Source organism: Homo sapiens, chromosome 19 (assembly GCF_000001405.40).
Source record: "Homo sapiens chromosome 19, GRCh38.p14 Primary Assembly".
NCBI classification, from domain to species: Eukaryota; Metazoa; Chordata; class Mammalia; order Primates; family Hominidae; genus Homo; species Homo sapiens.
In genome coordinates, this window is record NC_000019.10 from 41966522 (window position 1) to 41994452 (window position 27931).

The 27931-nt window shown below is 56.0% G+C and overlaps 1 protein-coding gene across 4 annotated transcripts, besides 1 other annotated feature; it reads right to left on the reverse strand.

Annotated features, from left to right (window-relative positions):
* ATP1A3 (ATPase Na+/K+ transporting subunit alpha 3) lies at positions 61-27709 on the reverse strand. 4 transcript variants are annotated; one of them, NM_152296.5, is made up of 23 exons: positions 27550-27709; positions 21955-22041; positions 21797-21856; positions 21415-21618; positions 19595-19708; positions 19343-19477; positions 18785-18902; positions 18397-18665; positions 15387-15585; positions 15201-15310; positions 14981-15115; positions 12085-12277; positions 11630-11805; positions 11415-11551; positions 9895-10045; positions 9108-9276; positions 3867-4021; positions 3664-3787; positions 2914-3059; positions 2264-2394; positions 1141-1242; positions 728-819; positions 61-444 (listed from the first exon to the last, which is right to left on the reverse strand). In NM_152296.5, exons 1-23 carry the CDS (start codon positions 27553-27555, stop codon positions 416-418), a joined length of 3042 nt encoding a protein of 1013 aa, NP_689509.1. In that variant the 5' UTR covers positions 27556-27709; the 3' UTR covers positions 61-415. The 4 variants fall into 4 exon arrangements, with proteins under 4 accessions (NP_689509.1, NP_001243143.1, NP_001243142.1 ...); NM_001256214.2 differs by having other exon boundaries at positions 21955-22080; NM_001256213.2 differs by lacking the exon at positions 27550-27709 and adding an exon at positions 26872-26946.
* Positions 27443-27882: a silencer, noted in NCBI's record as "silent region_10681". NCBI's record gives its function as "represses an Ori minimal core promoter by ATAC-STARR-seq in GM12878 lymphoblastoid cells {active_cell/tissue: GM12878}" and the evidence as "EXISTENCE:reporter gene assay evidence [ECO:0000049][PMID:35858748]".

Sequence of the window (27931 nt, forward strand, 5' to 3'; positions counted from 1 at the left end):
GAGGGGATGCTGTCCCAGCCGCAGTCCCCGTCTGGAAAGCAGGCACAACACACACACCGCTTCTCTCTCCCCACTGATATATTTGATAATTGTCCAGAACCAGAGATGGCATCAGCCGGGGGGCTGAAGGGGAGTAAAAAAGAGCCCAGGGAGGTGGCTGGGGCGGGAGGAATGGATAGAGGGGTGAGGAGAGGGAGAGAAACTGACACAGAAAAGAGAGAGGAGAGAGGTTTGGGGCAGGGGAGAGAAGCCAGCCAGAGTGGGGGCGGCAGGAGATAGTGGAGGGGGTGGGGGCCAAGGTGGGGCCACAGGAAGAGAGGGCTCCTCCCCCCAGAATACAAAATTGGGGGGACTGACAGGGGCGGTCCTGGGCCTGGGGGACGGGGAAGAGATGGGCGATGTGGTGGGGCTGAGGTCAGTAGTAGGTTTCCTTCTCCACCCAACCTGGAGAGACAAAGAAGGAAAGAAAGAGACAGAGTAAGAGATGGAGAGAGACAGGCAAGGCGAGCCGCCCAGCAGAGAGAGGGACAGAGAGGGAGAGAGACAAGGAAACCACACAGACAGAGACCCGTGAGAAGACAGAGTGGGTGCCCGGAGAGATGGGAAGAGAGAGAAGAGTGGGAACCAGGTGGCAGAGCCATCCAGCAGGGCGAGGGGAGCCTGGGACCAGCTGCCTGAGACCCTGCTGCCCCCCGCCCCCCTCGGCTGCCTTGCCGAGCTCCCTCACCCCCTGGGTTCCTGCGCAGGATGAGTTTGCGGATTTCGTCGTAGACGAAGATGAGGAAACTGTAGGGGAAGGCACAGAACCACCAGCTGGGCCTGCAGAGGGGAGAGCAGGAGGGCTTGAGTGCGGGGCCCTAACGAGAGGCAGAGTTTCAGGGGACTGGAGGGGACGCAGAGGGGCAGTCTCCCAGGATCCTTCGTGCTCACAGGTGGAGGGTGCCCTGGGCGGGGCTGGGGCCTGGGGTCTTCGGAGTAATCCGTGGTGGGAGCAGCCTATGGGGGAGGCTCGGGGGCATCAGAATGGGGACTGCAGTGGGGACACCAGGGGAGGTGGGGCCTGAGGTTCAGGCTGAGTCTAAGGGAAGGCTCCATGGCAGGCGCTGGTGTGGGCAGGGCTGGGGGCAGCGGGGCACTCACTTGAGAGGGTACATGCGCAGGGCCACGTCCATGCCGGGGCAGTAGGACAGGAAGGCAGCCAGGGCCGTCTCCTCAAACAGCCCGAAGATCAGGATCTTGTTCCTGGAGGCACAGAAGGGCAGGGCTGGGCCCAGAGAGCACCCACCCTGCACCTGCCACCCCGCAGAGACAGGGGGAGGCACAGTGCAGACACCCAGAGACAGCAGCACAGACACAGAGACAGAGAGGCAGAGACATAGGGAGAGACAGAGATGGGGAGACATGCCCCGACAGAGAGAGACAAAGATAGAGGCAGAGCGATGGTGACACAGAAAGAGACAAAAGACAGGGACAGACACAGAGACAGGGACAGACACAGAGACAGACAGGGACAGACAGAGAGACAGACACAGGGACAGACACAGAGACAGGGACAGAAACAGACACAGAGACAGGGACAGACACAGAGAGGCACTGGTATAAAAAGAAAAGGCCAGGGGCACCTCCACCACACACACAGAGGCTGAGAGAGAATCTAGGACACACAGGACCCCTTGAGAGAAAATCAGTGCAGTGGCAAAACCCAAAATGGGCTGGGCATGGTGGCTCACACCTGTAATCCTAGCACTCTGGGAGGCTGAGGCAGGAAGATTGCCTGAGCTCAGGAGTTTGAGACCAGCCTGGGCAACATGGTGAAACTCTACTAAAAATACGAAAAATTAGCCGAGCCTGGTGGTGCGTACCTGTAATCCCAGCTACTTGGGAGGCTGAGGCATGAGAATCGCTTGAACCCGGGAGGCGGAGGTTGCAGTGAGCCAAGATTGTGCCACTGCACTCCAGCCTGGGCAACAGAGCAAGACTCTGTCTCTAAATAAATAAATAAAAATTAGCCATATATGATGGTGCACACCTGTAGTCTCAGCTACTCAGGAGGCTGAGGTGGGTGGGTCACTTGAGCCCAGGAGGTCGAGGCTGCAGTGAGCTATGATTACACCACTGAACTCCAGTCTGGGTGACAGAGTGAGACCCTGCCTCAACAAAACAACAAAAAACCAAAGCAAGGACACAAGAGGAAGTACACAGACAGACAGACACTCGGACAGGACAGATGGCTGTCCAGTCACCATGTGCCCCCGGCCCTCACTTCATGCCCTGCTGGAAGACCGAGTTCCTCCGGGTCTTGCAGATGATCAGATCGGCCCACTGGACGACAACGATGCTCACAAAGAAGGCCGTGTGGCAGGTGAACTCCACCACCTTCCTCTGCTCGTATGTCTGCAGGAGCGGTGACCAGGGCACGGGACGTCAGTTAGTGGCACTGCAGCCCTAGCCGCCACCCCGACGTTCCGGTGCTCTTTGCCCCGCCCCATCCTGCATGGGGTCCTCAGGGCCTCAGGTGTGTCTTCCTTCTGCGGGCTCATAGTCCCGAGGGAGGAGTCAGGAGACGTACAAGGAAGAAGAAAGGTTAATGGTGATCTCACCATCCACCAGGGGCCAGGGAGGAGGATAAGGACCCTGTGGGCCTCCCAAGGAGGACAGACAGCAACTGGGCTTTGAAGGGACAGACAGAGGTGGGGAAGAAGGCCTGGCAGGGCAGAGAGCTCCAGCAGTGGGACACAAGGCTCCAGATGGGCTGGGCCAAGGGCATCCAGGAAGCCCCAGGTGCCCAGCAAAGGCCTTGATGCTGCCATGGGAGACTGAGGGGGCCATCGTAGGAAGTGGCCATGCATGGCTGGAACAGCTCACCCCGGGGATCTTACGGTGGGCAGAGACACAGCACCCTGCCCTACTCACCCACTGCTGCCCGTAACTGTCTTCCAGGTCATTGACGGTGCGGTCATCCCAGTTCAGCCGGATGCCCACCAGGTTGCCGGGCAAGAAGCCATTTTCTGCCAGGATCACAAAGTAAGAGAAGAAGCCACCGAGAGCCTGGATCATTCCTGGAAGGAGGAGAGAGGAAGCCGAGGAGAGGCTCAGATTGGGGCCAGCAGCCAACCCAGGGCACCTCAGAGGGCCCGGAGGCCTCCTTGGAGAGGGGAGTATGCCCTCCTGGCCCTGTTATCTGGACATTGGTTCCCAGAGGGTGACCTGAGGTCTCACTTGGTGGTGAGGCCCTGAGATGGGTGGGCCACCTGGGACAGGGGCTTTGGAGAGAGGGCTCTCCCAGAGGGATAACCTGGAGCCCCTCTCTCACCTGACCTAGGCCACCTAAACATCATGAATTCTTGGGGGATCCCCAGCTTGAGCTCCCTACGCAGGAATGACCTCCCTGGGCCTGGAACCACTGCCATGAAGTCTCTGCTTGCTGGGACAGCCCCCAAGGGTGGCTGCTCCACTCCTCTGGGGATCCGCACACATCAACAGCAGAGAGGAGGAGGTGGAGAAGGATGGGGTGCAGACCCCCCCCACAGATAGCTCACTGGTTGGTCCTGCCCACGTCTGCTCCCCTGAGTCAATGCCAGGGTCCCAAGCACCCACGGTGGGCCAGGCACTGCTCTAGGCCCGGCACTGGGTGGTAAGGAGATGGAGTCCCCGGTGCCTCACCAATCTGCCCGTAGGCCATGCTGATGAGTCTCTCATTGACCAATTTGTCCGTCCGCGGGTTCCTGGGCTGTCTCTTCATGATGTCGCTTTCGGCAGCCTCGTACGCCAGTGAGATGGCAGGGACCTAGGCGGAGGAGGCCGGGTGAGCCGGAGAGGGGAGGACTCCACCCTCCTGGGCCCCAAGGGTGGCTGCCAGGGCTCACCATGTCAGTGCCCAGATCGATGCAGAGGATGGTGATGGTGCCCAGGGGCAGCGGGATGTTGGCCATGATGAACAGCAGGAAGGGCGTGATCTCCGGGATATTGCTGGTCAGGGTGTAGGCAATGGACTTCTTTAGGTTGTCGAAGATCAGGCGGCCTGTGGCACAGGCAGGCTCAGAGCAGGCGCCCATGCCAGGGAGCCCCACTCCCTCTGCCCCTCCTCTGCCCTCATCCAACGTCCTTTTTTTTTTTTTTTTTTTTTTTGAGACAGAGTCTCGCTGTGTTGCCCAGGCTGGAGTGCAGTGGTGCGATCTCGGCTCACTGCAGGCTCCGCCTCCCGGGTTCACGCCATTCTCCTGCCTCAGCCTCCCGAGTAGCTGGCACTACAGGCACCTGCCACCACGCCCGGCTAATTTTTTTGTATTTTTATTAGAGACGGGGTTTCACTGTGTTAGCCTGCATGGTCTCAATCTCCTGACCTCGTGATCTGCCCTCCTCGGCCTCCTGAAGTGCTGGGATTACAGGCGTGAGCCACCGCGCCCGGCCTGTCCAGCGTCCTTTTCTACCCCCCAGCCCACCCACCATTATTTTCTTTTTGGGACAGGGTCTCACTCTGTTGCCCAGGCTGCAGTGCAGTGGCATGATCACGGCTCACTGCAACCTCGACTCCCAGGCTCAAGTGATCCTCCTGCCTCAGCCTCCCATGTAGCTGAGACTACAGTCACGCGCCACCACGTCCAGCTAATTTTTGTATTTTTAGTAGAGACAGAGTCTCACCACTTTTCCTAGGCTTGTCTAATTTCTGGGCTGTGATTCCATCTCAGCCTCCCGAAGTGCTGGGATTACAGGCATAAGTCTCCACACCTGGCCCCTCACCCACCTACCTTTCCACATAAACATCCAACCACATCGCCTTTGTGGAAACATTCTTGAAATAACCACTTTGGAAGATGGTTTCGGAGTTGCTATCAAACATCCCCCACCCCACCGACCGAGTAATCCGACTCCTAGGTTTTATACCCAAAAGAGAGGAGGACTGTTTATGCCCAGCGAAAAGCAAGTACGAGAATGTTCACCATAGCACCACTCATCAGAGCCAAAAGCCAGAGTCAACCCCATGTCCATCAACAGGTGAGGGATGAATAAACCACGGTACATCCATGCAGTCAAATACTACACAGCAAGAAGGGGCGAGCTACGGACACAACTCCACAGCTGGACCTTGGATCCCGTGCTGAGTGACACGAGCCAGACACAAAAGCATTCTTAGCATCCAACTCCAACTGGAGCAGGCTCAGCACCCGTCTCTGGGCTAAAAGTCAGGATAATGGTTATGTCTAGGAGGAGGGATATAGACTGGAAGAGAGCAGACAAAACCTAAATGGGGGGCTGGAATGGTTTTCTATCTTGACTGGGGTCTGGTGGTTGCATGGCTGTGTACATGTGTAAAAATTTATACACCCTGTCTGGTTGAATATTTTAATGAGATATAATATGCCCAACTCACTGTATGCATGCCATATCTCAATAAATATTCAACCAGTACAGGTTGTCTAAAGTAAACAAAATAAAGATTAATCCAGGCCAGGCGCTGGGGCTCACACCTGTAATCCCAACACTTTGGGAGACCGAAGCAGGAGGATTGCCTGAGATCAAGAGTTCAAGACCAGCCTGGCCAACATGATGAAACCCCATCTCTACTAAAAATACAAAAATTAGCTGGGCGTGGTGGTGGGCACCTGTAACCCCAGCTACTTGGGAGGCTGAGGCAGGAGAATCATTTGAACCTCAGAGGCAGACGTTGCAGTGAGCCGCAATTGTGCCATTGCACTCCAGCCTGGGCAACAGAGCAAGACTCCATCTCAAAAAAATAAAATAAAATAAAATAAACATTAGTCAGGCACGGTGGCTCGAGCCTGTGGTCGCAGCTACTTGGGAGGCTGAGGTGGGAGGATCACTTGAGGAGGTCGAGGTTGCAGTGACTGATGATTGCAGCACTGCGCTCCAGCCTGGGCAACAGAGTGAGACCTTGTCTCTAAATAAATAAATAAGTAAAAAGATTAGCCCATGAACAATGAGGTCAATCATTAAGAAAGAACAGGCGGGCACGGTGGCAAACACCTGTAATCCCAGCACTTTGGGAGGCTGAGGCGGGTGGATCACGAGGTCAGGAGATCGAGACTATCCTGGCCAACATGGTGAAACCCCATCTCTACTAAAACACAAAAAATTAGCTGGGAGTGGTGGTGTGTGCCTGTAGTTCCAGCTATGTGGGAAGCTGAGGCAGAAGAATCGCTTGAAGCTGGGAGGTGGAGGTTGCAGTGAGCCAACATCACGCCACTGCACTCCAGCCTGGCAACAGAGCAAGACTCCATCAAAAAAAGGGGAGGGGAGGGGAGGGGGAAGGAAGGAAGGAAGGGGAAGGAAGGAAGGAAGGAAGGAAGGAAGGAAGGAAGGAAGGAAGGAAGGAAGGAAAGAAGGAAGGAAGGCAGGCAGGCAGGGACGGAGGGAGGGAGGAAGGGAGGGAGGGAGGGAAGGGAAGGTGAAGCAGGCTGCCTGTGGTGTGGCTTCTTTGATTGCTTTGATGTCTCTTGCATAGCAATAAGGGCCTGGGCCGCTCCCACCTGATATTCTCGTTCCCTGCATTGTGCTCTTCTCCACAAACTAGGGGTTTCTCATCCTAAACTATTTATGGATGAAATGGTGACAAATGTGCATCAGCATAATCCAGTGTGTGTTCCAGGTGGTGGGGAAGAAACAAGGTGTGCCGTGCGCTGACTGCCGCTGCAGGTGGGATGGAGGCGCAGGGGCCCACTGTGCCTTTGCTTTACTTTTGGGTATATCTGGAATGCCCCCGTTGGAAGTTATTTTGTTTGTTTGTTTGAGACAGGGTCTCGGATCTCGCTCTATCCCAGGCTGGAGTGCAGTGGCACCATCATGGTTCATGGCAGCCTCGACCACCCAGGCTCAAGTGATCCTCCTGCCTCAGCCCCCCAAGTCTCTGAGACTACAGGTGTGCAACACCACGCCCTGCTAATTTTTAAAATTTTTTGATCTTTGAGGTCTTAATTTGTTGTACAGGCAGGTCTTGAACTCCTGGGCTCAAGCGATCCTCCCGCCTTGGTCTCCCAAAGTGCTGGGATTACAGGCGTGAGCCCCCGTGCCTGGCCCCTGACGGAAGTTAGGTATTTCTTCCCTCACTTCAGAGAGGCCTTCCCTGTCCACCCCATCTGGGCAGGACCCTCACTATTATCTATCACAGCGGCCTGCTTTCTTCGGGGCATATATCACAATTTGTAATTACATATCTGTTAACTTGTTTAAGGCTGTCTCTCCAGCCCTGTGAGAACAGGGATGGTGTCTGCTCTGCTCACAGCTGCCTCCCAGGCTTCCAGCATGATGCACAAGATTCGGAAGGAGCAGACGGCTGTATCTGAGACAGTGTGTGTACTGTGTATGCATAGATGTCTTGGGGAGGCCAGGCGTGGTGGCTCATGCCTGTAATCCCAGCAAATTGGGAGGCCAAGGTGGGAGGATTGCTTGAGCCCAGGAGTTGAAGACCTCGCTGGGCGAGGTGGCTCACCCCTGCAATCCCAGCACTTTGGGAGGCCAAGGTGCGGGGATCACTTCAGGTCAGGAGATCAAGACCAGCCTGGCTAACATGGTGAAACCCCATCTCTACTAAAAATACAAAAATTAGCCTGGTGTGGTGGCATGCACCTGTAATTCTAGCTACTCGGGAGGCTGAAGCAGGAGAATTGCTTGAACCCAGGAGGTGGAGGCTACAGTAAGCCGAGATTGCATGCCTGTACTCCAGCCTGGGTGACAGAGCAAGACTCTGTCTCAAAAAAAAAGAAAGACTAGTCTGGGCAACATGGCGAAACCCCATCTCTACAAAATCTTAAAAATCAGCCAGGTGTGATGGTGCATACCTGTAGTCTCAGCTACTTAGGGGCCTGAGGCAGGAGGATCGATTAAGTCCCGGAGGTGGAGGCTGCAGTTAGCCGTGATTGTGCCACTGCACTCCATCCTGGGTGACAGATTGAGACTCTATCCCCGCCCCCAGCCCCCAAAAAAAGATGTCTCTTGGGAGATAAGAAGGTGTTAACCATGGTTTCCTCTGGGATATAGGAGACAAGGGCTGAGGACATTTAATCTGTTACTCTGGGCTCGGCTTTGCCGTTTGAATTCTCTTTTACCATGAACTACTTTTTACACCAGAGACATTTCAAATAGGAGAGAGAAATTGGAAGAAAATCCACCAAGGCATGAACCGTGATTATTTCTGGATGGCGAGGTTACGGGTGATTCTACTTTTTTCCTGAATGCTTTTCTGCATTTGTCTATGATTATCATGAATTAATTTGATGATCAAAATAAATCTGAATGTGAACCAACCCTTCTGTGGCCTTGTCTGGGCCTGTCAGGAGGTGGTGCCTGTCGGCTCAGCAGCACCAGCCTCAGACCCAGCCCCTCACACCGCCTTGCCTGTGTACCGGTTCCTCTGCCTGCGACTCCCTGGCACTAGTCTATGTGGACGTCACAGCATGGCCCCTGACTTGGCTCAGCCATCCCTGTCCACTCTGGGAAGCTCCCTTGACCCCCAGCCCAGGCTGGCAGAGGGGGTATCCCCCAGGGTCCCTGGCTTCCCCCTGGTTGGGCTTGAGAATTTTTTTTTTTTTTTGAGACGGAGTCTCGCTCTGTCCCCCAGGCTGGAGTGCTGTGGCGCAATCTCAGCTCACTGCAACCTCCACCTCCTGGGTTCAAGCAATTCTCCTGCCTCAGCCTCCCGAGTAGCTGGGACTACAGGCAACCGCCACAATGCCCGGCTAATTTTTTGTATTTTTAGTAGAGACGGGGTTTCACCATGTTAGCCAGGATGGTCTCGATCTTCTGACCTCATGATCTGCCTGCTTCAGCCTTCCAAAGTGCTGGGATTACAGGCGTGGCTGCCGCCCCTGGCTGAGAATATCTTTAAAAAGCCTCCAAGTCAGCTTCACCCACCAGATGGGGCCTGGGCTGGATGACGCAGGGACCCTGAAGTGTGTCAGCTCAGTCCTGCCCAGGGGAGCTCCCGACCCCACAGGGGAGGAAGACAGAAAAGGACAGGCTCAGGCTCCTCCAGGGCCAGGGGGCCTGTGGTCTCTGCCACACATCCCCCTGCAGCCCTGGCCAGTTCCCCTTGCTGGTCTCAGGCCTCCGGTAGTGACCCTGGTCTCCAGGGCCACCCCTGGCCAACTCACCCTCCTCCACCCCTGTGACGATGGAGGCAAAGTTGTCGTCCAGCAGGATCATGTCAGCTGCCTGCTTGGAGACGTCAGAGCCAGCGATGCCCATGGCCACCCCAATGTCGGCCTTCTTCAGAGCGGGGGAGTCGTTCACACCATCCCCGGTCACAGCCACAATTGCACCCTGGAGGGAGAGAGGGTAAGGATGACACCCAGAGGCCAGTCCCCAGAGTCCCCTCCCTCAGATCCAGAAGCCCAGGACCCCAGCCCCCTCCTCCTTCAGACCTAGAAGTTCAGGTCCCCAACCTCCTCTTCCCCTCAGACCTAGGAGTTCAGGCCTCCAGACCTTCCTCCCTCAGACCCAGGGGTCCAGACCCCCAGACCCTCCTCCCTCAGACCCAGAGGTCCAGGCCCCCAGCCTCCTTCTCCCTCAGACTCAGCAGTCCAGGCCCCCAGACCCTCCTCCCTCAGACCCAGGGGTCCAGGCCCCCAGCCCCTCCTCCCTCAGACCCAAGGGTCCAGGCCCCCACCCCCTCCTCCCTCAGACCCAGGAGTTCAGGCCCCTATCCCCTCTTCCCTCATACCCAGAAGTCCAGGCCCCCTCCCTCAGACCCAAGGGTCCAGGTCCCCAGCCCCCTCCTCCCTCAGACCCAGGAGTCCAGGCCCCCAGACCCTCCTCTCTCAGACCCAGGGGTCCAGACCCCCAGCCCCTCCTCCCTCAGACCCAGGAAACCAGGCCCCGGCCTCAGTGAGGACCCAGGAGTCAAGGCCCCGTCCCCTCCTCTGCGGGAGCGCAGCCCACCTGTCTCTGACAGCCCTCCACAATGATGAGCTTCTGCTGGGGGGATGTGCGGGCGAAGACGATCTCGGTGTGATTCTGCAGGATCTCGTCGATTTGCTCGGAGGTGAAGTCCTTGAGGTCGGTGCCGTGGATCACGCAGGCCTTGGCATCCCTGGGAAGAGCAGAGAGAGCGATGGCTGAGGTCAGGGTGTGTGAGGAGTGGCAAAGTGATCCCTGAAAGACAGAGAAACAGAGGGGCCAGCCCCACAACCAGGAGAGCCAGAGGACCAGGGGCTGGGGGAAGAGGCCTCTGGGAGAAGCAGGGGAGAAGGGGGCTACTGCAGCAGGGCGTGCGGGCAGACCTGAGGAAGGACTTTGGGGCAGTGGATTTATTTATTTATTTATTTATTATTTATTTATTTATTTTTGAGATGGAGTCTCGCTCTGTCACCCAAGCTGGAGTGCAGTGGCGCAATCTCGGCTCACTGCAACCTTTGCTTCTTGGGTTCAAGTGATTTTCCTGTCTCAGCCTCCCTAGTAGATAGGATTACAGGTGCCCACCACCACGCCTGGCTAATTTTTTTTTAATTTTTAGTGCAGATGGGGTTTTGCCATGTTGGCCAGGCTGCTCTCGAACTCCTGACCTCAAGTGATCCACCCACCTCGGCCTCCCAAAATGCTGGGATTACAGGCGTGAGCCACTGCGCCCAGCCAAGACACAGTGGATTCAGAGGAACGGAGATAAATGGACAAGCTGAAGGAAGGCAGAGTCAGAGATAGGTATGAGGATGGGAAAGTTGAAGAAGTCAGAAAAACAGAACAGAAAAGAGAGACAATGACAGACAGACAGGAAAAAAGAGAGACAGACACAGAAGTACTGGATTCTACTGAATCCTCTGAGATAGGAATTATTAGTAGCCCATTTTAGAGATGGGCAAACTGAAGTTCATGGATGCTAAAGGACTTGCCCAATGTCACACAGCTTGTGAGCGGTATAAGCTGGAATGCAGGCCGGGCGCAGTGGCTCACGCCTGTAATCCCAGCACTTTGGGAGGCCAAGGCAGGTGGACCACCTGAGGTCAGGAGTTCGAGACCAGCCTGGCCAACATAGTGAAACCCCCGTCTCTACTAAAAATACAAAAAAAAAAAAAAAAAATTAGCGGGGCATGGTGGAGGGCCCCTGTAATCCCAGCTACTCAAGAGGCTGAGGCAGATAATTGCTTGAACCCGGGAGGCGGAGGCTGCAGTGAGCTGAGGTTGCCCCACTGCACTCCAGCCTGGGCGACAGAGCAAGACTCCATCTCAAAAACATAAATAAATAAATAAAATAAAATAAAGGCTGGGATGCAAACCTATGCCTGGCTACCTCTGTGGCTGCAATGTCCCCACACCGGAGGGAGGGCCAGACCCAGGGCCTGGTCCATGGAGGAGTCCCAGAAAGAATGGGACAGGCAGTGCAGAGGGAGGTTGGGGGGAAGCGGTCCCCCTGTGTCAACACCCTAGAGGGATGTCCAGGGCCCTGGCTGGGATGGGTGGCTCACCGGGGGTTAACCTGGCTGACGGGAATGTTGAGCCGGGCGGCGATGTCCTCCACAGTCTCGTTGCCCTCAGAGATGATGCCCACACCCTTGGCAATGGCCTTGGCCGTGATGGGGTGATCGCCGGTGACCATGATGACCTGCAGGCATTGTTTTTTAGGGATGGCCTCTCCCGCCCCACGCCTGGCTTTGCCTCCCCCAGCCACCCCAAGCCACACCTTGATGCCTGCGCTGCGACACTTGCCCACCGCGTCAGGGACGGCTGCCCGGGGTGGGTCGATCATGGACATGAGGCCCACAAAGCAGAGGTTGTCCGTGGTGAAGTTCACGTCATCACAGTCGAAGGCAAAGCCCTTGGGGAACTGCTCCTCGGGCAGGTAATAATGGCAGAAACCTAGTGGCAGGGAAGGGTTGGGGTGTGAGGGTCCCAGCCTCGGAACCTCCGCCCCATGCCCCTAGATGTCTGCATCGCCCGCATTCCATCTCCCCATCAGCAAGACGGCCAGTCAGCATTCATTTCCTAGGATACCTTCCCCTCTCATCCATCCATTCATTCATTCATTCATTCATTTACAGTATATTCTGGGAGGCCCTGGGCTGAGACAGGCTTTGGGCAGCATCACAACCCTCCTTGCCCTCCAGGGACCCCAGAGCCCGCCCGGCAGCCTCGCACCAAGCACGCGCTCGCCCAGGCCACCGAGCTCAAGGTAGGCATTCTGGAAGGCCTCCTTCATTTCCTCGTCCAGAGGCTGCTCCTTGCCCTGTAGCAGGATGGTGGAGCAGCGGTCCAGGATGCGCTCGGGGGCACCCTTCATCACCAGCAGGTATCGGTTGTCGTTGGGGTCCTCGGTCTCATGGATGGAGAGCTGGGGACCGATCAGAGGGTGGCGTGCCTGAGCCACGCAGACACCAGGAAGCTCCCTGCCCCATCCTGTCCCCTGTCCAGAGCCACGGGTGCCAGGATAGGCCCACACCAGGGCTCCCCCACACTCTCTCACAGAGACCTCTGCTCATTCCTGTCCGCTCTGTCTATGTCATGGATATATATTTCTTTTTCTTTTTCTTTTTTTCTTTTTTCTTTTTTTTTTGAGACAGAGTCTCGCTCTGTTGCCCAGGCTGGAGTGCAGTGGCACGATCTCAGCTCACTGCAACCTCCACCTCCTGGGTTCAAGCAATTCTCCTGCCTCAGCCTCCGGAGTAGCTTGGGATTACAGGCACCACCACCACACCCAGCTAACTTTTGTATTTTTAGTAGAGACGGGATTTTGCCATGTTGGCCAGGCTGGTCTTGAACTCCTGGCCTCAAGTGATCTGCCCTCATCGGCCTCTCAAAGTGCTGGGATAACAGGCATAAGCCACCACGTCTGTGCTCCCCTCCTCCCACCCTGTTTTTTTTTTTTAAGACAGGGTCTCACTCTGTCACCCAGGCTGGAGAACAGTGGCGAGATCACAGCTCACTGCAGCCTTGATCTCCCAGGCTCATGCGATCCTCCCGCTTCGGTCTCCCACGTAGCTGGGACCACAGGTCCACACCACCATGCCTGGCTAATTTTTTATAGAGACATGCTCTCCCTATGTTGCCCACGCTGGTCTCCATCTCCTGAGTTCAAGCGATCCTCCTGCCTCGGTCTCCCAAAGTGCTGGGATTACAGGCGTGAGCCACCACACCCAGCTGTATGCTTCCATTTTTATGAAATGTCCAGAATAGGCAAAACCATACGGACAGAAAGTAGGTTAGTGGTTGCTTAGGGCTGGGAGTGTCGGGGAGGAGGGGGCGGGTGACAGCTGAGAGATGTGGGGTTTCTTTTTGGAGGTGATGAAAATGCTCTAAAATTGACTATGTGGATGGCTGCCTATATCTGCGAATATACTAAAACTATTAAATTATACACTTAGAGGGACGAGCTATGGTATGTTAATTATATCTTAATAAAGTTATTTTAAAAGCTCTGAGTCAACTCCTGTCTCTCTTTGGCTGAGAGCCCCCTGGAGGCTTGTGTGCTCCTCAGAGTCACAGCCAAGTCCTCTCCATGCCCGTGGGGCCTGACAGGATCTGGCCAGCACCCACCACCCCCACCACGCTCCCTGGCTCCCAGCCCCTCTGCACTGGCTGGCTGGCTGGTGTTCAGATGCGTCAGCACACTCCCGCCTCTGGGCCTTTGCACAGGCTGTGCCTGCTACCGGAGCGCTCTTCCCCCAGACACCTGCAGGGTTCCCTCCCTCAGCACCACAACCACTACGATTACCTCCTCATGCCTTTGTTATTGTCTGTCTTCTAGAACCAGAGCGTAAGTCTCAGAGAGGGGTGACTTCACCATGTCACTCACTACTGTGTGTACACCCAGCACCCAAAACAGGGCCTAACATGTGGTGGCTGGTCAAAAAATGTATACTGAATGGGCCGGGCATGATGGCTTATGCCTGTAATCCCAGCACTTTGGGAGGCCGAGGTGGGTGGATCACTTGAGGTCAGGAGTTCAAGACCAGCCTGGCCAACATGATGAAACCCCATCAATACTAAAAATACAAAAACTAGCTGGGTGTGGTGGTGCACGCCTCTAATTCCAGCTACTCGGGAGGCTGAGATATGAGAATCACTTGAACCCAGAGACAGAGGTTGCAGTGAGCCAAGATCACACCACTGCCTTTTAGCCTGGGCGACAGAGCAAGACTCCATCTCAAAAAAAAGTTTACTGAGGCCGGGCGCGGTGGCTCATGCCTGTAATCCCAGCACTTTGGGAGGCTGAGGCGGGCAGATCACGAGGTCAGGAGATCGAGACCATCCTGGCTAACACGGTGAAACCCCGTCTCTACTAAAAATACAAAAAATTAGCTGGGCATGGTGGCGGGCGCCTGTAGTCCCAGCTATTCTGGAGGCTGAGGCAGGAGAATGGTGTGAACCCGGGAGGTGGAGCTTGCAGTGAGCTGAGATCGCGCCACTGCACTCCAGCCTGGGTGACAGAGCGAAACTCTGTCTCAAAAAAAAAAAAAGTTTGCTGAATAATTTAAAGTTGCTGCTCTGCCCCAAGAGGTCTCCTGCTTGTTCCCACTCTCTGCTGTAGGAAAACTTTTTTTTTTTTTTTGAGTCAGGGTCTTGCTCTGTCACCCAGGCTGGAGTACAGTGCGTGATGTAGGCTCTCTGCAGCCCCAACCTCCCCGGCTCAGGCAATCCTCCTGCCTCAGACTCCCAAATCGCTGAGACCACAGGCACATACCACCACACCTGGCTAATTAAAAAAAAAATTTCGTACAGATGGGGTTTTGCCATCTTGCCCAGGCTCGTCTCGAACTCCTGGCCTCAAGTGATCCCCCCACCTCAGCCTCCCAAAGTTCTGGTGTTAAAGGTGTGAGCCACCGCGCCTGGCCTGCAGGAAGATCTTTACTCCTCAGCGTCTCACTCCAACAGAGATCCGGCTCCCACTCTCAAGCTCTCCCTGTTCCTCTCCCCACCAGGCGGGTATTATCATTCCCATTTTACAGACGGGAAAATCAAGGCTCTATGACACCTCTTTACAGGCGTCATAAGGAACCTGAGGTCCAGGCTGGCTCTCCCGGAAAGCCCAGAGTACCTGGTATTTGTTGGTGGAATTGAAGGGAATCTCAGCCACTTTCTTGTTGCGTTCACGCATCAGCTTCACGGAGCCAGAGGACAGCTCGATGCACTTGAGCAGGGCAGACTCAGACGCATCCCCAGCCACATCCCTCTGCAAGGAGAAAGGGTTGTCAGAACAGGGACAGCTGAGGGGAGGACACAGGCAGGGCCGAGGTGAGGCCAGTAGCTGAACCCACCTTGAGCACAGGGATGTTGTCCTGACCACCCTTGAAGACAGCGCGATTGCAGAGCCCAGCGATGTGAGACAGGGCCACCCAGGTGTGCGAACTCTTGTCAAATGAGGTCCCTGGGGGAGGCATGTGTGAGGGCCAGGGACTCCTGGAGCCAGGCCCCCATGGTCCTCACCCGGGGCCTGCGCTCACCTGACTGGTCCTCAGTGGTGTCAGCCTCGTGGATCTGGTTGTCAAACCACATGTGGGCGACTGTCATGCGGTTCTGAGTGAGGGTCCCTGTCTTATCTGAGCAGATGGTGGACGTGGAGCCCAGGGTTTCTACAGCCTCCAGGTTCTTCACCAGGCAGTTCTTCCGGGCCATGCGCTTGGCGGTCAGCGTCAGACACACCTGGAGGACGAGCAAGGGCAGGCAAGTTACAGGGACAAGCCCGGCAGCAGGGTTGGATGAGCGACACGAGGGCCACAGCCCAGCTGCCCAGCCCCCAGAGAATCCTGAGGGCCTGGAAAAGAATGAGGCAGCACCCAGCAATGCCACCCCCAATTCAGACCAATAGAAACAGGGCAGAGACACCCAAAGACAGGGACTAGAATGCTCATAGCAGCCACATGCATAATAGTGCAAAACAGCCAGGTGCAGTGGCTCACGCCTGTAATCCCAGCACTTTGGGAGGCCGAGGTAGGCGCATCACTTGAGATCAGGAGTTCGAGACCAGCCTGGCTAACATGGTGAAACCCCATCCCTACTAAAAATACAGAAATTAGCAGGGCATGATGGTACACTCCTGTCATCCCAGCTACTTGGGAAGCTGAGGCACGAGAACCCCTTGAACCCAGGAGGTGGAGGTTGCAGTGATCCGAAATCGTGACACTGCACTCCAGCCTGGGCAACAGAGTGAGACTCCAACTCAAAAAAAAAAAAAATTGTCCAAAACTGCAAACTACTCAAATGTCCACTAACAGCAGAAAAGATAAATTGTGGACAATGGAATACTAACATTGATAAAAACAAATACATTACTGCTGCCTGCACCTGCATGGGTGAACGTCAAAAACATGTTCAGCCAAAAAGAGCCAGAAATGAGTTCATACTGAATTATTCCGTTAATAGGAAGTTTGAACACAGGCAAAGTTAATCTATGCTGTTAGCAGCCAGATCAGGGGTTACCCTTGGGTTGGGGGGCAGGGGCTAAATAAGGTCTTGAGGGGGCTTCAGGGAGACGCAGTCTCGTTGCAGCTGACGTGATTCTGTTCAGTTTGCCCCAAATCATCAGACTATGTGCTCACAATATGCTTAATCCTTTGCGTATAAAAATCCATTTGACATAGGGTAGCATTCAACATTGCTAATATGGAAAACAGTAAACTTTTTTTTTTTTTGAGACACAGTCTTGCTCTGTCGTCCAGGCTGGAGTGCAGTGGCTCGATCTCAGCTCACTGCAACCTCCACCTCCCAGGTTCAAGCAATTCTTGTGCCTCAGCCTCCCAAGTAGCTGGGATTACAGGCGCCCACCATCACGCCTGGCTAATTTTTGTATTTTTAGTAGAGATGGGGTTTTGCCATGTTGGCCAGGCTGGTCTTGAACTCCTGACCTCAAGTGATCCACCCACCTCGGATTCCCAAAGTGCTGGGATTACAGGCGTGAGCCACCCTGCCCGGCCCTAATATGGAAAACTTCACATAAAACATTAAGTCAAAGAATGAAAGAGGAGAATGGTATTTCTAAGATAGTCCCTGCCATGCACCTTGAAGACAGCATTTAGTCAATATGCTCACAGCTGTCAGGCGGAACCTCACAGAGAATGGACTTCTGGGGTGAAGCTGGCAGCAAAGCAGCCAGAGAAAAAATTTTTAAAAATAATAATAATAATTATTATTATTATAATAATTATTATTATTATTATTTTCTTGAGATGGAGTCTCCCTCTGTCACACAGGCTAGAGTGCAGTGGTTCAATCATGGCCCACTACAGCCTCAACCTCCCGGGTCAGCCTCCCAAATAGCTGGAACTACAGACATGTACCACCACGCCTGGCTAATTTAAAAAAATTTTTTTTTTTTTTTTTTTTTTTTTGAGACAGAATCTCGCTTTTGTCGCCCAGGCTGGAGTGAGGTGGCACGATCTCGGCTCACTGCAAGCTCTGCCTCCTAGGCTCAAGCTATTCTCCTGTCTCAGCCTCCTGAGTAGCTGGGATTCCAGGCACCCATCACCACGCCTGGCTAATTTTTATACTTTTAGTAGAGATGGGGTTTTGCCATGTTGGCCAGTCTGGTCTCGAACTCCTGACCTCAGGTGATCCACCCGCCTCGGCCTCCCAAAGTCTTGGGACTACAGGCATGAGCCACTGCGCCCAGCCTTCACATTTTTTGGTAGAGATGGGTTCTTACTATGTTGTCCAGGCTTGTCTCAAACTCCTGACCTCAAGCAGTCCTCCTGCCTCAGCCTCCCAAACTGTTGGGATTAAAGGCGTGAGCCACTGCGCCAGGCTTATTATTTTATTTTATTTATTTATTTATTTATTTTTGAGATGGAGTTTCACTCTTGTCACCCAGGCTGGAGTGCAATGGCGTGATCTTGGCTCACTGCAACCTCCGCCTCCCAGGTTCAAGCGATTCTCCTGCCTCAGCCTCCTGAGTAGCTGGGATTACAGGCATGTGCCACCACGCCCCACTAATTTTGTATTTTCAGTAGAGACAGGGTTTCACCATGTTGGCCAGGCTAGTCTTGAACTCCTGACCTCAGCTGATCTGCCCGCCTTGGCCCCCCAAAGTGCTGGGATTACAGCGTGAGCCAGTGCACCCAGCCTCATTATTTTATTTTTTAACTTGATGTACTCTTCAACTTTTCATCATGAGCGTGCACTTCTTAATTTTGCAATAGGATTGTTGGCTCTTTACGGCTTGCCAGTGTTTCTCAAGATTTTTGTTTGTTTCTTTCTTTGATTGTTTGCTTTGTTAATGAGGCCCTCTGAGTCAGGCCCAAGTTGTCTTTCACAAGAATACTGTGATCCAGGCCCCCAGCCCCTTCTCCGGACCCAGGGGTCCAGATCCCAGCCCCTCCTCCCCCAGACACACGGGTCCAGGCCTCTAGCCCCTCCTCCCTCAGACTCAGGGGTCCAGGATCCCAGCCCCTCCTCCCTCAGACCCAGGAGCCCAGACCCCCAGGCCCTCCCCACCCAGACCCAGGAGCCTGGCCTTACAGTGACAGTGGCCAGCAGACCCTCTGGGACATTGGCCACGATGATGCCGATGAGGAAGATGACAGCCTCAAGCCAGGTGTATCCGAGAATGAGGGAGAGGATGAAGAAGGAGACACCCAGGAAGACAGCCACGCCGGTGATGAGCTGGATGAAGTGCTCAATCTCGATGGCGATGGGCGTCTTGCCCACCTCCAGCCCTGATGCCAGGGTGGCGATACGGCCCATGACAGTGCGGTCGCCCGTGGCCACCACCACGCCCCGAGCCGTGCCTGCAGGCCAGAGGGGTTAGGCTGAGGTGGGGTGGCTCAGGGAGGTTCTGGAGGCCTGACCCCCTGGGACACATCCCTGTGTCTGCCCCAGCTGTGTGTCTTCTCTGCACCCGCCTCACCTTCCACACAGTTGGTGGAAAAGAAGGTGATGTTCCGAGTCTCCAAGGGGTTGTCGTGAGTGCAGTCGGGAGAGCGAGTCTGGGGCTCGGATTCGCCAGTCAGGGAGGAGTTGTCCACCTGGGGGTAGGTGCAGCAGAGAGAGGGTTCAGTCCAGGGCCTGGGACAGGAGGGTATTTGTGTACAGGGCTTGGGGCTGAAGCCTGTGTGCCTGGAGATCACAGCTAGAAGCCTGGGTGCCCAGTGGGTGAGTGGTGTGTGGGAGGCCAGAGGCTGGGATCTTGAAGGTGGGGAAGGCACAGTGCTGCTGGCCAAGGTCTAGGGTCCCTAAGGATCTCCGAAAGGTGAGGGCTGGGCCTGGACTCCTGACTGTTGGGTGAGGAGGTGGCCCAGGGCCTAAACTCCTGGGTCTGAGGGAGGAGGGCCTGGGGGCCTGGACTCCTGGGTCTGAGGGAGGAGGGGTTGGGACCTGGACTCCTGAGTGTGAGGGAGGAGGGGCTGGGCCTGAGCTCCTGGGCAGCCCGAGGGAGGGTAAAGCCGGGCCCTAGGCCCAGGCCCACCTTGCAGCCGTGGGCTGAGATGATCCGCAGGTCAGCTGGCACTCGGTCTCCACCCTTGATCTCCACCAGGTCCCCGACCACCACCTCCTCAGCGTTCACCTGCATCTTCTCACCTTCCCGGATCACCAGGGCTTGCTGAGGTGGGATGGAGTAATGTCACCTCCCAGACTCCCTCTGCCTGGGGGTCACTGGGCCCGGCCCCCAGCCCATACACTAACACCCCCGTCTGGCCCCTTGCTGGGCACCCTTCACCTGGGGCACCATGTTCTTGAAGGACTCCATGATCTTGGAGCTCTTGGCCTCCTGGTAGTAGGAGAAGCAGCCAGTGATGATCACCACGGCCGCCAGCACGATGCCCAGGTACAGCTGTGGGGAGATGTGGGGATGTTGATCAGGGGCCGCCCAAGCCACTCTCCACCAGTCCCTGCTCGCCTGGAGTCTGGGAAGGGAGCTTTGTGTCAGTGGGGGTCTGTATTTGTGTGTCTGACCCTAGGTTGGTTATGAGGGTTGGTGTGTCTGAGTCTCCCCTGTTTGTGCTTGAGTCCCTCTTTCTGTAATGGTTGTGTTTGAATCTAAGGGTCTGTCGATTTTTTTTTTGAGACAGAGTCTCACTCTGTCGCCCAGGCTGGAGTGCAATGGCATGATCTTGGCTCACTGCAATCTCCGCCTCCTGGTTCAAGCGATCCTCCTGCCTCAGCCTCCTGAGTAGCTGGGACTACAGGTGCATGCCACCACACCTGGCTAATTTTGTGTATTTTTAGTAGAGATGGGGCTTCACCATGTTGGCTAGGATGGTCTTGATCTCCTGACCTTGTGATCTATCACCTTGGCCTCCCAAAGTGCTGGGATTACAGGTGTGAGCCATCTTTCCTGGCATTTTTTTTTTTTTTTTTTTTTGAGACAGGGTCTCGCTCTGCTGCCTAGGATGGAGTACAGTGGCACAATCTCAGTTCACTGTAGCCTCAACCTCCCAGATTCAAGCAATCCTCCCTCCTCAGCCTCCGGAGTAGCTAGGACTACAGGTGTGCGCCACCAGGCCCGGCTATGTTTTGTGTTTTTTTAGAGGCTGGGTCTGTCTGGGTATGTTACTCAGGCTACTGGAACTCCTGGTCTCAAGTTACCCTCCTGCCTTGGCCTCCCAAGGTGCTGGGATGACAGGCGTGAGCCACCATGCCCGACTTGTCCATCTGTTTTGTGTGTGTGTCTGTCCTCCTGCACATGTTGAGTCTGGGATGCGGCTGTCTGTCCATGTGTCTGTCTGACTGGCTGCATGCCTGACTTTACATTCTACAAGGCAGCTTCTTTGGTTCTCTGTGTGTGGATCTCTGTCTCTGTGTCTCCAGCTCTGCCTCTCTGTGAGAGCTTATGTCTAAGACTGTTTAGATTTGAACATCTGAGGACACTCTCTGTGCCTGACTCTCATGTCTCTCTGTCACCAGGTTATGCCTGCATTGCTGTGTGTGTGTGTGCGTGTCAGTGTGTGTGTGAGTTTCTCTGTCAGTGTATATCTGAGTCTGTGTCTGTGTTTCTGAATTAGGTGGCCATGTTTGAAACCACATCCTGGTGTGGCATCTGCGTTGACCCTCCGTGCACATGCGTGTGTGTGCACACACGCCTACCCAGGTGAGCAGCTCTGTGTGGCTGGTGTGTGGTCTGTGTTATGCGCATGGGATCTGAGGCTGCATCTCGAATGTGTCCCTGTGTTATGGGGATGGGCCCTGATGTATCAGCAGCGGGGTGTGCCTGGGTCTCTATGTGACACTCACTCTGGGTATCTGTCAAGCCATGACCACCTGCTGGTGTCTGTTCTCAAGGCCGCTGAGGTCACACAGCCTTGGGACAGAGCCCCGGCTCACACATCCTGCTGTGGGGCCTTGGACAAGTAGCCTGGCTTTTCTGAGCCTCAGTTTGCCTTGTATTTGATCTGGTTCTCTTGCTGGGTGATTGTGAGTTAGATGGGAAAAAGGGGGAGAGTGGGCTGTGAAAAGCTTAGAGGGATGGGAAGAAGTTGGGGTGCGGTGTCCGTAAATAAATGTGCAGAGCCTTGCACAGGGCAGGGTCCAGGCACTCACGTTGTCACCAGAGGGGTCGTCCTCGGTGCCCGCCTGGATACCGTAGGCCAGGAAGCAGAGGATAGCCCCGATCCACAGCAGGATGGAGAAGCCCCCGAAGAGCTGCCGGCAAAACTTGACCCACTCTGGGGTGGTAGGCGGTGGCGTGAGTGCGTTAGGCCCATCCCGGGCCAGGATCTCCTGGGCTTTGCTGTGGGTCAAACCCTGAGGGACAGAGGACTCACACAGAACCCTCCCTGGGCAACCCTGGCACCCCAGGCCTTCACCAGACCCCCAGAACTTAAGACACCAGCCACAGCCCCTCCTCCCTCAGACCCAGGGGTCCTAGCCCCCAGCTCCTCCTCCCTAGTTCCCAGGGTCCCAGCCCACAGCCTGGCCACACCTGCACACAGTCTGTGTTGTATTTCCGGCAGACCTCTTCCACTGACATCTTGTGCTCTGTCTGAGGAACAGGAGTTTGGGGGAGACGGTGAGTGCCTAGGCCAGCCAAGAACTGGCGAGGTTCTCTGGGAGGGTGTGCGGGCAGAGGGCGAGGCTTACCATAGCCACCTCCTTCTTGAGGTCATCCAGGTCCCGGCGCTCCTTGCCCTTGTTCTTCTTGGGTGAGTCCTTGTCATCTTTCTTGTCCTGCGAGGTGGCGATACGATAGCTGTCAGAGCCACCAGACTGCGGGCGAGAAGGGGTTCCAGGAGGACACCGGCCCTCCATGCCCCAGCTATCCTCCTGGCCGGTGCCCCTGCATCTCTGGGTGGGGGGTCTCTGTCTGCCTCTCGGGGTCTCCCTGTGTCTCCCGGAGCCTCTGGGTGACTTCACCTCCCTTCTGCCTCTGGTGACTCTCAGGCCTCGTGAGTCTCATCTGCTGCAATCAGCTTCCCTGTCTCTGGTTCTGTGTGTCTCTGAGTCTCTGTCCCCGAAGGTCCCTGTCTGGCTTCTGCCTGTGTTTCAGTCTCTCTCTGTTTCTGTGCCCATCTTTGCGGGGCTCTCCCCTTTTGTGTTCTGTGTCTATGTGACTTTGTTTTCGTTTTTTGAAACAATGTCTCACTCTGATGCCCAGGCTGGAGTGCAGCAATCACAGCTCACTGCAGCCTCGACTTCTGAGGCTCAGGTGATCCTCCCGCCTCCGCCTCCTGTGTAGCTGGGACTACAGGTGTGTGCCACCACGCCCGGCTAATTTTTAATTTTTTTCTAGAAATGGGGTCTCACTACACTGCCCAGGCTGGTCTCTAACTCCTGGACTCAAGCGATCCTCCTGCTTTAGCCTCCCAAACTGTTGGGATTATAGGAATAAGCCACCGTGCCCCACCTCTATGTGACATTTTAACTCTGCTTCTGTCTCTTCTTCCCTCTCCCTGGCCCTGTCCAACCTTCCTACATATCTGTCTTTTTTTTTTTTTTTTTTTTGAGACGGAGTCTCGCTTAGTCGCCTAGGCTGGAGTGCAGTGGCATGATCTCAGCTCACTGCAAGCTCCGCCTCCCAGGTTCACGCCATTCTCCTGCCTCAGCCTCCCGAGTAGCTGGGACTACAGGCGCCCGCCACTACGCCCGGCTCATTTTTTTGTATTTTTAGTAGAGACAGGGTTTCACTGTGTTAGCCAGGATGGTCGCAATCTCCTGACCTCGTGATCCGCCCGTCTCGGCCTCCCAAAGTGCTGGGATTACAGGCGTGAGCCACCGTGCCCGGCCTCGTATCTGTCTTTTCTATGTCTCCACGTGTATCTCCATCTCTTTCTCCTCTGTCTGTCTCCCTTGATGTGTATCTCCAGGTCTGTTTTTGGCTCTTGGTCTTATTGCTTTGTTTCATCATCTCTCTGTCTCCTGTCTCTTTATCTCTCCATCTCTGTATCTCTGTCTTTGCAAGGCTGTTTCTCTCTCTTGATAGCTCTCTCTCTCTCTCTATCGCTCTGATCTCTTTATGTTGTCTCTGTCATTCTCTATCCTGATCCCAGTCTCTGGGTCTCTCTGCATGTGTCTTTCTATGATTTTGTCTCTCTCTGATCTCTGGTTCTTTGTCTCTCTGCCTTGCATGATGTCTGTCTCCATCTCTTGGCTGTGTCTCCCCAGGTCTGGCTGAGTTTCTGTCTCTCTGGGTTCTTATTTCCCTCTGAGTTGGCGTCTCAAGGATCAGTACTTTCTGTCTCTGTCTTTTTCCGTCTTTCGGTCTGTCTCTCTCTGTCATTGTGTCTCTATCTTCATCTCTCAAGCTGTCTCCTCTGGGATGCTCACATCTCTCCCTACCTGTCTCTTTTCCTGTTTCAACCTCTCTCTGTCTCTCTCTCTGTCTCTCTAATATCTCTCTCTGGGATCTGCCTATCTCTGTCTCTCTCCCACTCTCTCTCTCTGGGATCTCCTCTCTATCTCTGAATCTCTCTTTCTCTCTCACTATCACTAAGATCTCCTCTCTTTCTCTTTCTCTCTCTCTCTCTCCCTCTCTCTGTCTCTCTCAAATCTTCCGTCCCCCTCCTTCCCCATATATCTCTCATTCTCTTTCTCTCTCTCCCTCTCTCTGTCTCTCTCAAATCTTCCGTCCCCCTCCTTCCCCATATATCTCTCATTCTCTTTCTCTCTCTCCCTCTCTCTGTCTCTCTCAAATCTTCCGTCCCCCTCCTTCCCCATATATCTCTCATTCTCTTTCTCTCTCTTACTACCTCATCCTGGAATTTTCCTCTCTGTCTCTCTTTCTCCCACTGTCTCTCTCTGGGCTCTCCTCAATCTCTCTCTCTCTTTCTCTCTCTCTCTGTCCATATATATATATATATATATCTGTCTCTTTTTGTAGGATCTTCCTCTCTCTTTCGCTGTCTGTCTCTGGGATCTTCCTCTCTCTCTCTGTCTCTTTCTCTCACTTTCTCTCTGGGATCTTATTCTCTATTTCTGTCTCTCTGAGATCTCCTCTCTCTGTCTCTGGAATCTGCCTCTCTATCTCTGTCTATGTCTCTCTGTCTCTGTCTCTCTCACTGTCTCCCTCTGGTACCTTCCTCTATCTCTGTCTCTGCCTCTCTCTGGGATCTTCCATGTGTTGGGCCCATGGAGCGTCCTTAACAGAGGCTGGGCATGGCCAGGTTCCTGGAGGACAGAGCAGGAGAGTTAGAGGCAGAAGCCCTAGTCCTGGCTTGAACTGCGCATGGTGTGAGTCCCTGAAGTTCCAGTTTGGGAGCCTGGGCGGATGGGGAGGGCAGTGTCCGAGGCTGGTGGGAGGGGTGGGGCGAGGCTGGGTGCTGCAGGGGCCGCTGACAGGTCCCGCAGGCCCAGGGCCAAGCTGGGATCGGAGGCTCAGCGCGGCTCAGCGCTAATCTCCTCGTGACCTTGTAGAGGGCCTGAGCTGCCTGCTGTCTGCCCCCAGACCCAGAGGCTGAGTCGGAGGGTGGGGGTGTGCAGGGAGGGGCAGCAGCCTGGAGATCTGGGAGCCTCAAGAAGGGGTGCAGGGGGTGGGAGGGAGGCTTGGCCCCACGCCAGCCCTGCAGCAGCACTGCGTCTCAGATGCGGAGGCACAGAGGCTTGGGGGACGGGGAGACCATCTTTCCTACTGCCCTACAGTGCCGGGGTGGTCTCAGCTTTGCCCGATGGGGTAGACCCAGGATGGAGAGACATGGAGAGATGGAGAGATGTGGAGCTACAAAGGCCTGGGGTCAAGTCCTGTGCAGGAGGCCAGGAGAGGGGTGAGATGGGGGTCAGGAGAGAGAGAGGGAGAAAATCAGCTGCCCACCCAGAAACCTTAGTTGAAGGCTGGGAGCTGATGCTCGGGGCCCCATAAATGCTAAGGGCTGGGCCGGACTCTCAGATACTGAGAGAGGCTGGGGTCCTGGATCCCTGGGTCTGAGGGAGGAGGGGCAGGGGTCTGGACCCCTGGGTCTGAGGGAGGAAGGACTGGGAGCCTGGAATCCTGGGTCTGAGGGAGGAGGGGCCAGGGCCTGGACTCCTGGGTCTGAGGGAGGAGGGGCTGGGGCTGGACCCTTGGGTCTGAGGGAGGAGGGGCTGGGCCTGGACCCCTGGGTCTGAGGGAGGAGGGGCTGGGGCCTGGATTCCTGGTCTGAGGGAAGAGGGGCTGGGGCCTGGACTCCTGGATCTGAGGGAGGAGGGGCTGGGGCCTGGACTCCTGGATCTGAGGGAGGAGGGGCTGGGGCCTGGACTCCTGGTCTGAGGGAGGAGGGGCTGGGGCCTGGACTCCTGGTCTGAGGGAAGAGGGGCTGGGGCCTGGACTCCTGGATCTGAGGGAGGAGGGGCTGGGGCCTGGACTCCTGGTCTGAGGGAGGAGGGACCGGGACCCTGGGACTCCTGGCTCACCCTGGCCCTGGCCTTGGCTCCTGCTTGCCCTTGACACAGCCAGACCCCCTTGGGGAGCAGGCTCCCATCTGTTGGAGTGCACAGCTGAGGCTTTCCCAGTCAAGGCAGGAGGCCCAGATGGGCGCGCTGCGGGGTGGGAGCACCTCCAAGGGTGGGGACCATGCCTGTCTCGCTGTGGCCGCCTCTGCAGCTCCTTGCCATTTTCCATGCTGTCCGCCTCTCCCTGATCTGGTGCCAGCTCCCGCAGCCTCTGCGCCTGGGCCGGCCTCCCTTCCCCCTCGCAGGGGACCTGGCCCACATCTCTGACCATCCCTCCCTTGACCTCCCCCTTTGCCCTCTGCCTCCTCTTCCTGTCCCTCAGGCTGACTGTGGTTGCCGCTAGATAGGAAATATCTGTCCTTGTGTCTCTTCCTCTGAGCCTCAGTTTCTCATTTTCTCTCTCAATGTCTCTCCATGTGTCTCAGCCATGTCTCTCTGCTTGTCTCTGTCTCTTTGTCTCTATGTCCATGTCTCTTTCTCTGTCTCTTTCAGAGCATCTCTGTCTTTCCATGTGTCTCTGTCTTTCCTTCCCATGTCTAAGCTGCCTTCATTTCTCCTCTCGTCCCCACTCCGTTTCCTAAGACCACCTCCCTCTAACTTCCTTCTCTAGGGCTTTTAGCATCAGTCTTCTCCCAATCCATCCACAGCTTCCCTCCCTCCATCCCACTTACCTGACAGCCATCACTGACTACCCCTTTCTCCCTTCTCTCCCCTAGTCCTGCCCCAACCCAATCCTCCTTCCCAGCCCCCCGGCCCACCCTGCCCCACCCCACAGATCTGCAGCCCCATCCCCCACCTCCATCCCTGGGCCCATCAGCCTTTATCCGCCATCTTTCTCCCCAGCCCTCCTATTCTCCCTCCACTGGCCTCTCCCGCCCTCTTCATCCCACCTACCCCCACCCACCCCCTCCTCTCCTGATTCCCCCTCCCTTCAGCCCCGCCCCAGACACACAGGGAGGAATCCAGGGCTGCAGCAAGGGTCAGGTGGTCAGCCAGGGAGGGAGGCGGCATCTGCTGGAGAGACTCACAGACAGACAAGGACACACGGACACAGAGGCAAGGACACAGCCAGGCATGCACGCTCCCCACTACACAGTTGCACACGCACACCCTCAGCTGTGCACTCAGTCTCCCCACCGTGGCTCTCCTGTTCCTCTCCTCCTCCCAGCCTCCCATGCCTGCTCCCCTACATGAGGGGCTGCACACACACACACTGCAGCCCCAGGCTGCGACACTGCGGAGCCTGCACACACACACACACACACACACACACACACACACACACACACACACACTGCGGAGTCCCCCCATCCAGGCCTGGAAGGAGAAAGAGAGGTCATCTGGTGTCCATCCCACAACGTGGACCTATCCGCACCCTGCCAGGGAAGCAGGGGGGCCTCAATAACCCCAGACGCACTAACACGAGCTCTCACAGACACACCCAGACGCGATCGCAGACTTTCAGACACCACGGGGCCCACACACTCGCTGCCAGGGCCTGACAGAGCCAGCAGCTCTCATACGCACATGCAACTGTGCACATGCAACCGCACAAGGTCAGGCGGAGATGCTGAGGGCTGGCCCACAACCTCGCGGATCTCCGCACACAAAGCCATGCCAACGTGCGCCACAGACCCCCCGCCGCCCCCTGCGGCCCCACGACCACATGGATTGGCTGGGTCAGCCGGCTCCCCGGGTCTCGCAGGCCTGGCCCCGGAGCGCAGGGGTCCCGGTGCCCCCGCCCCCCGCGCACACCCAATGTCACCGGCCCCACAATGTCACACGGAAGCGGCGCCCAGCCGGCTCAGCACCTACCCCCATCTTGGCGGCTCCGCGGCGAGAGAGCCAGGCGGGCGGGGCGGGGACCTCGGGGCGGGCTCAGGCTCAGGCTTGGGCTGGGAGCCTCTGCAGCGCCCGCGCCTCGGTAGGTGCGCGCGTCCGTCCGTCCGTCCGTTGGTCCCACCGCACAGAGGCTGCGGCGGCCGCCGCCTCCGCCTCCTCATATGCCCGCGTCCGCGGGAGGGGGGCGGCGCTGGCCAATCAGGGGCGCCGCCGTGCTGACGGACGGCCCGCGGCCCCGCCCCTGGTACTGCAGCTGTCCTCCCCTTGGGCTCCGCAAAGTGGCGGCGCGGCCGCGAAGGGGGAGCGCTGCGGGGGTGGGGGGATTCCCAGAGACCTCCGCAATAGGGGACTTGGA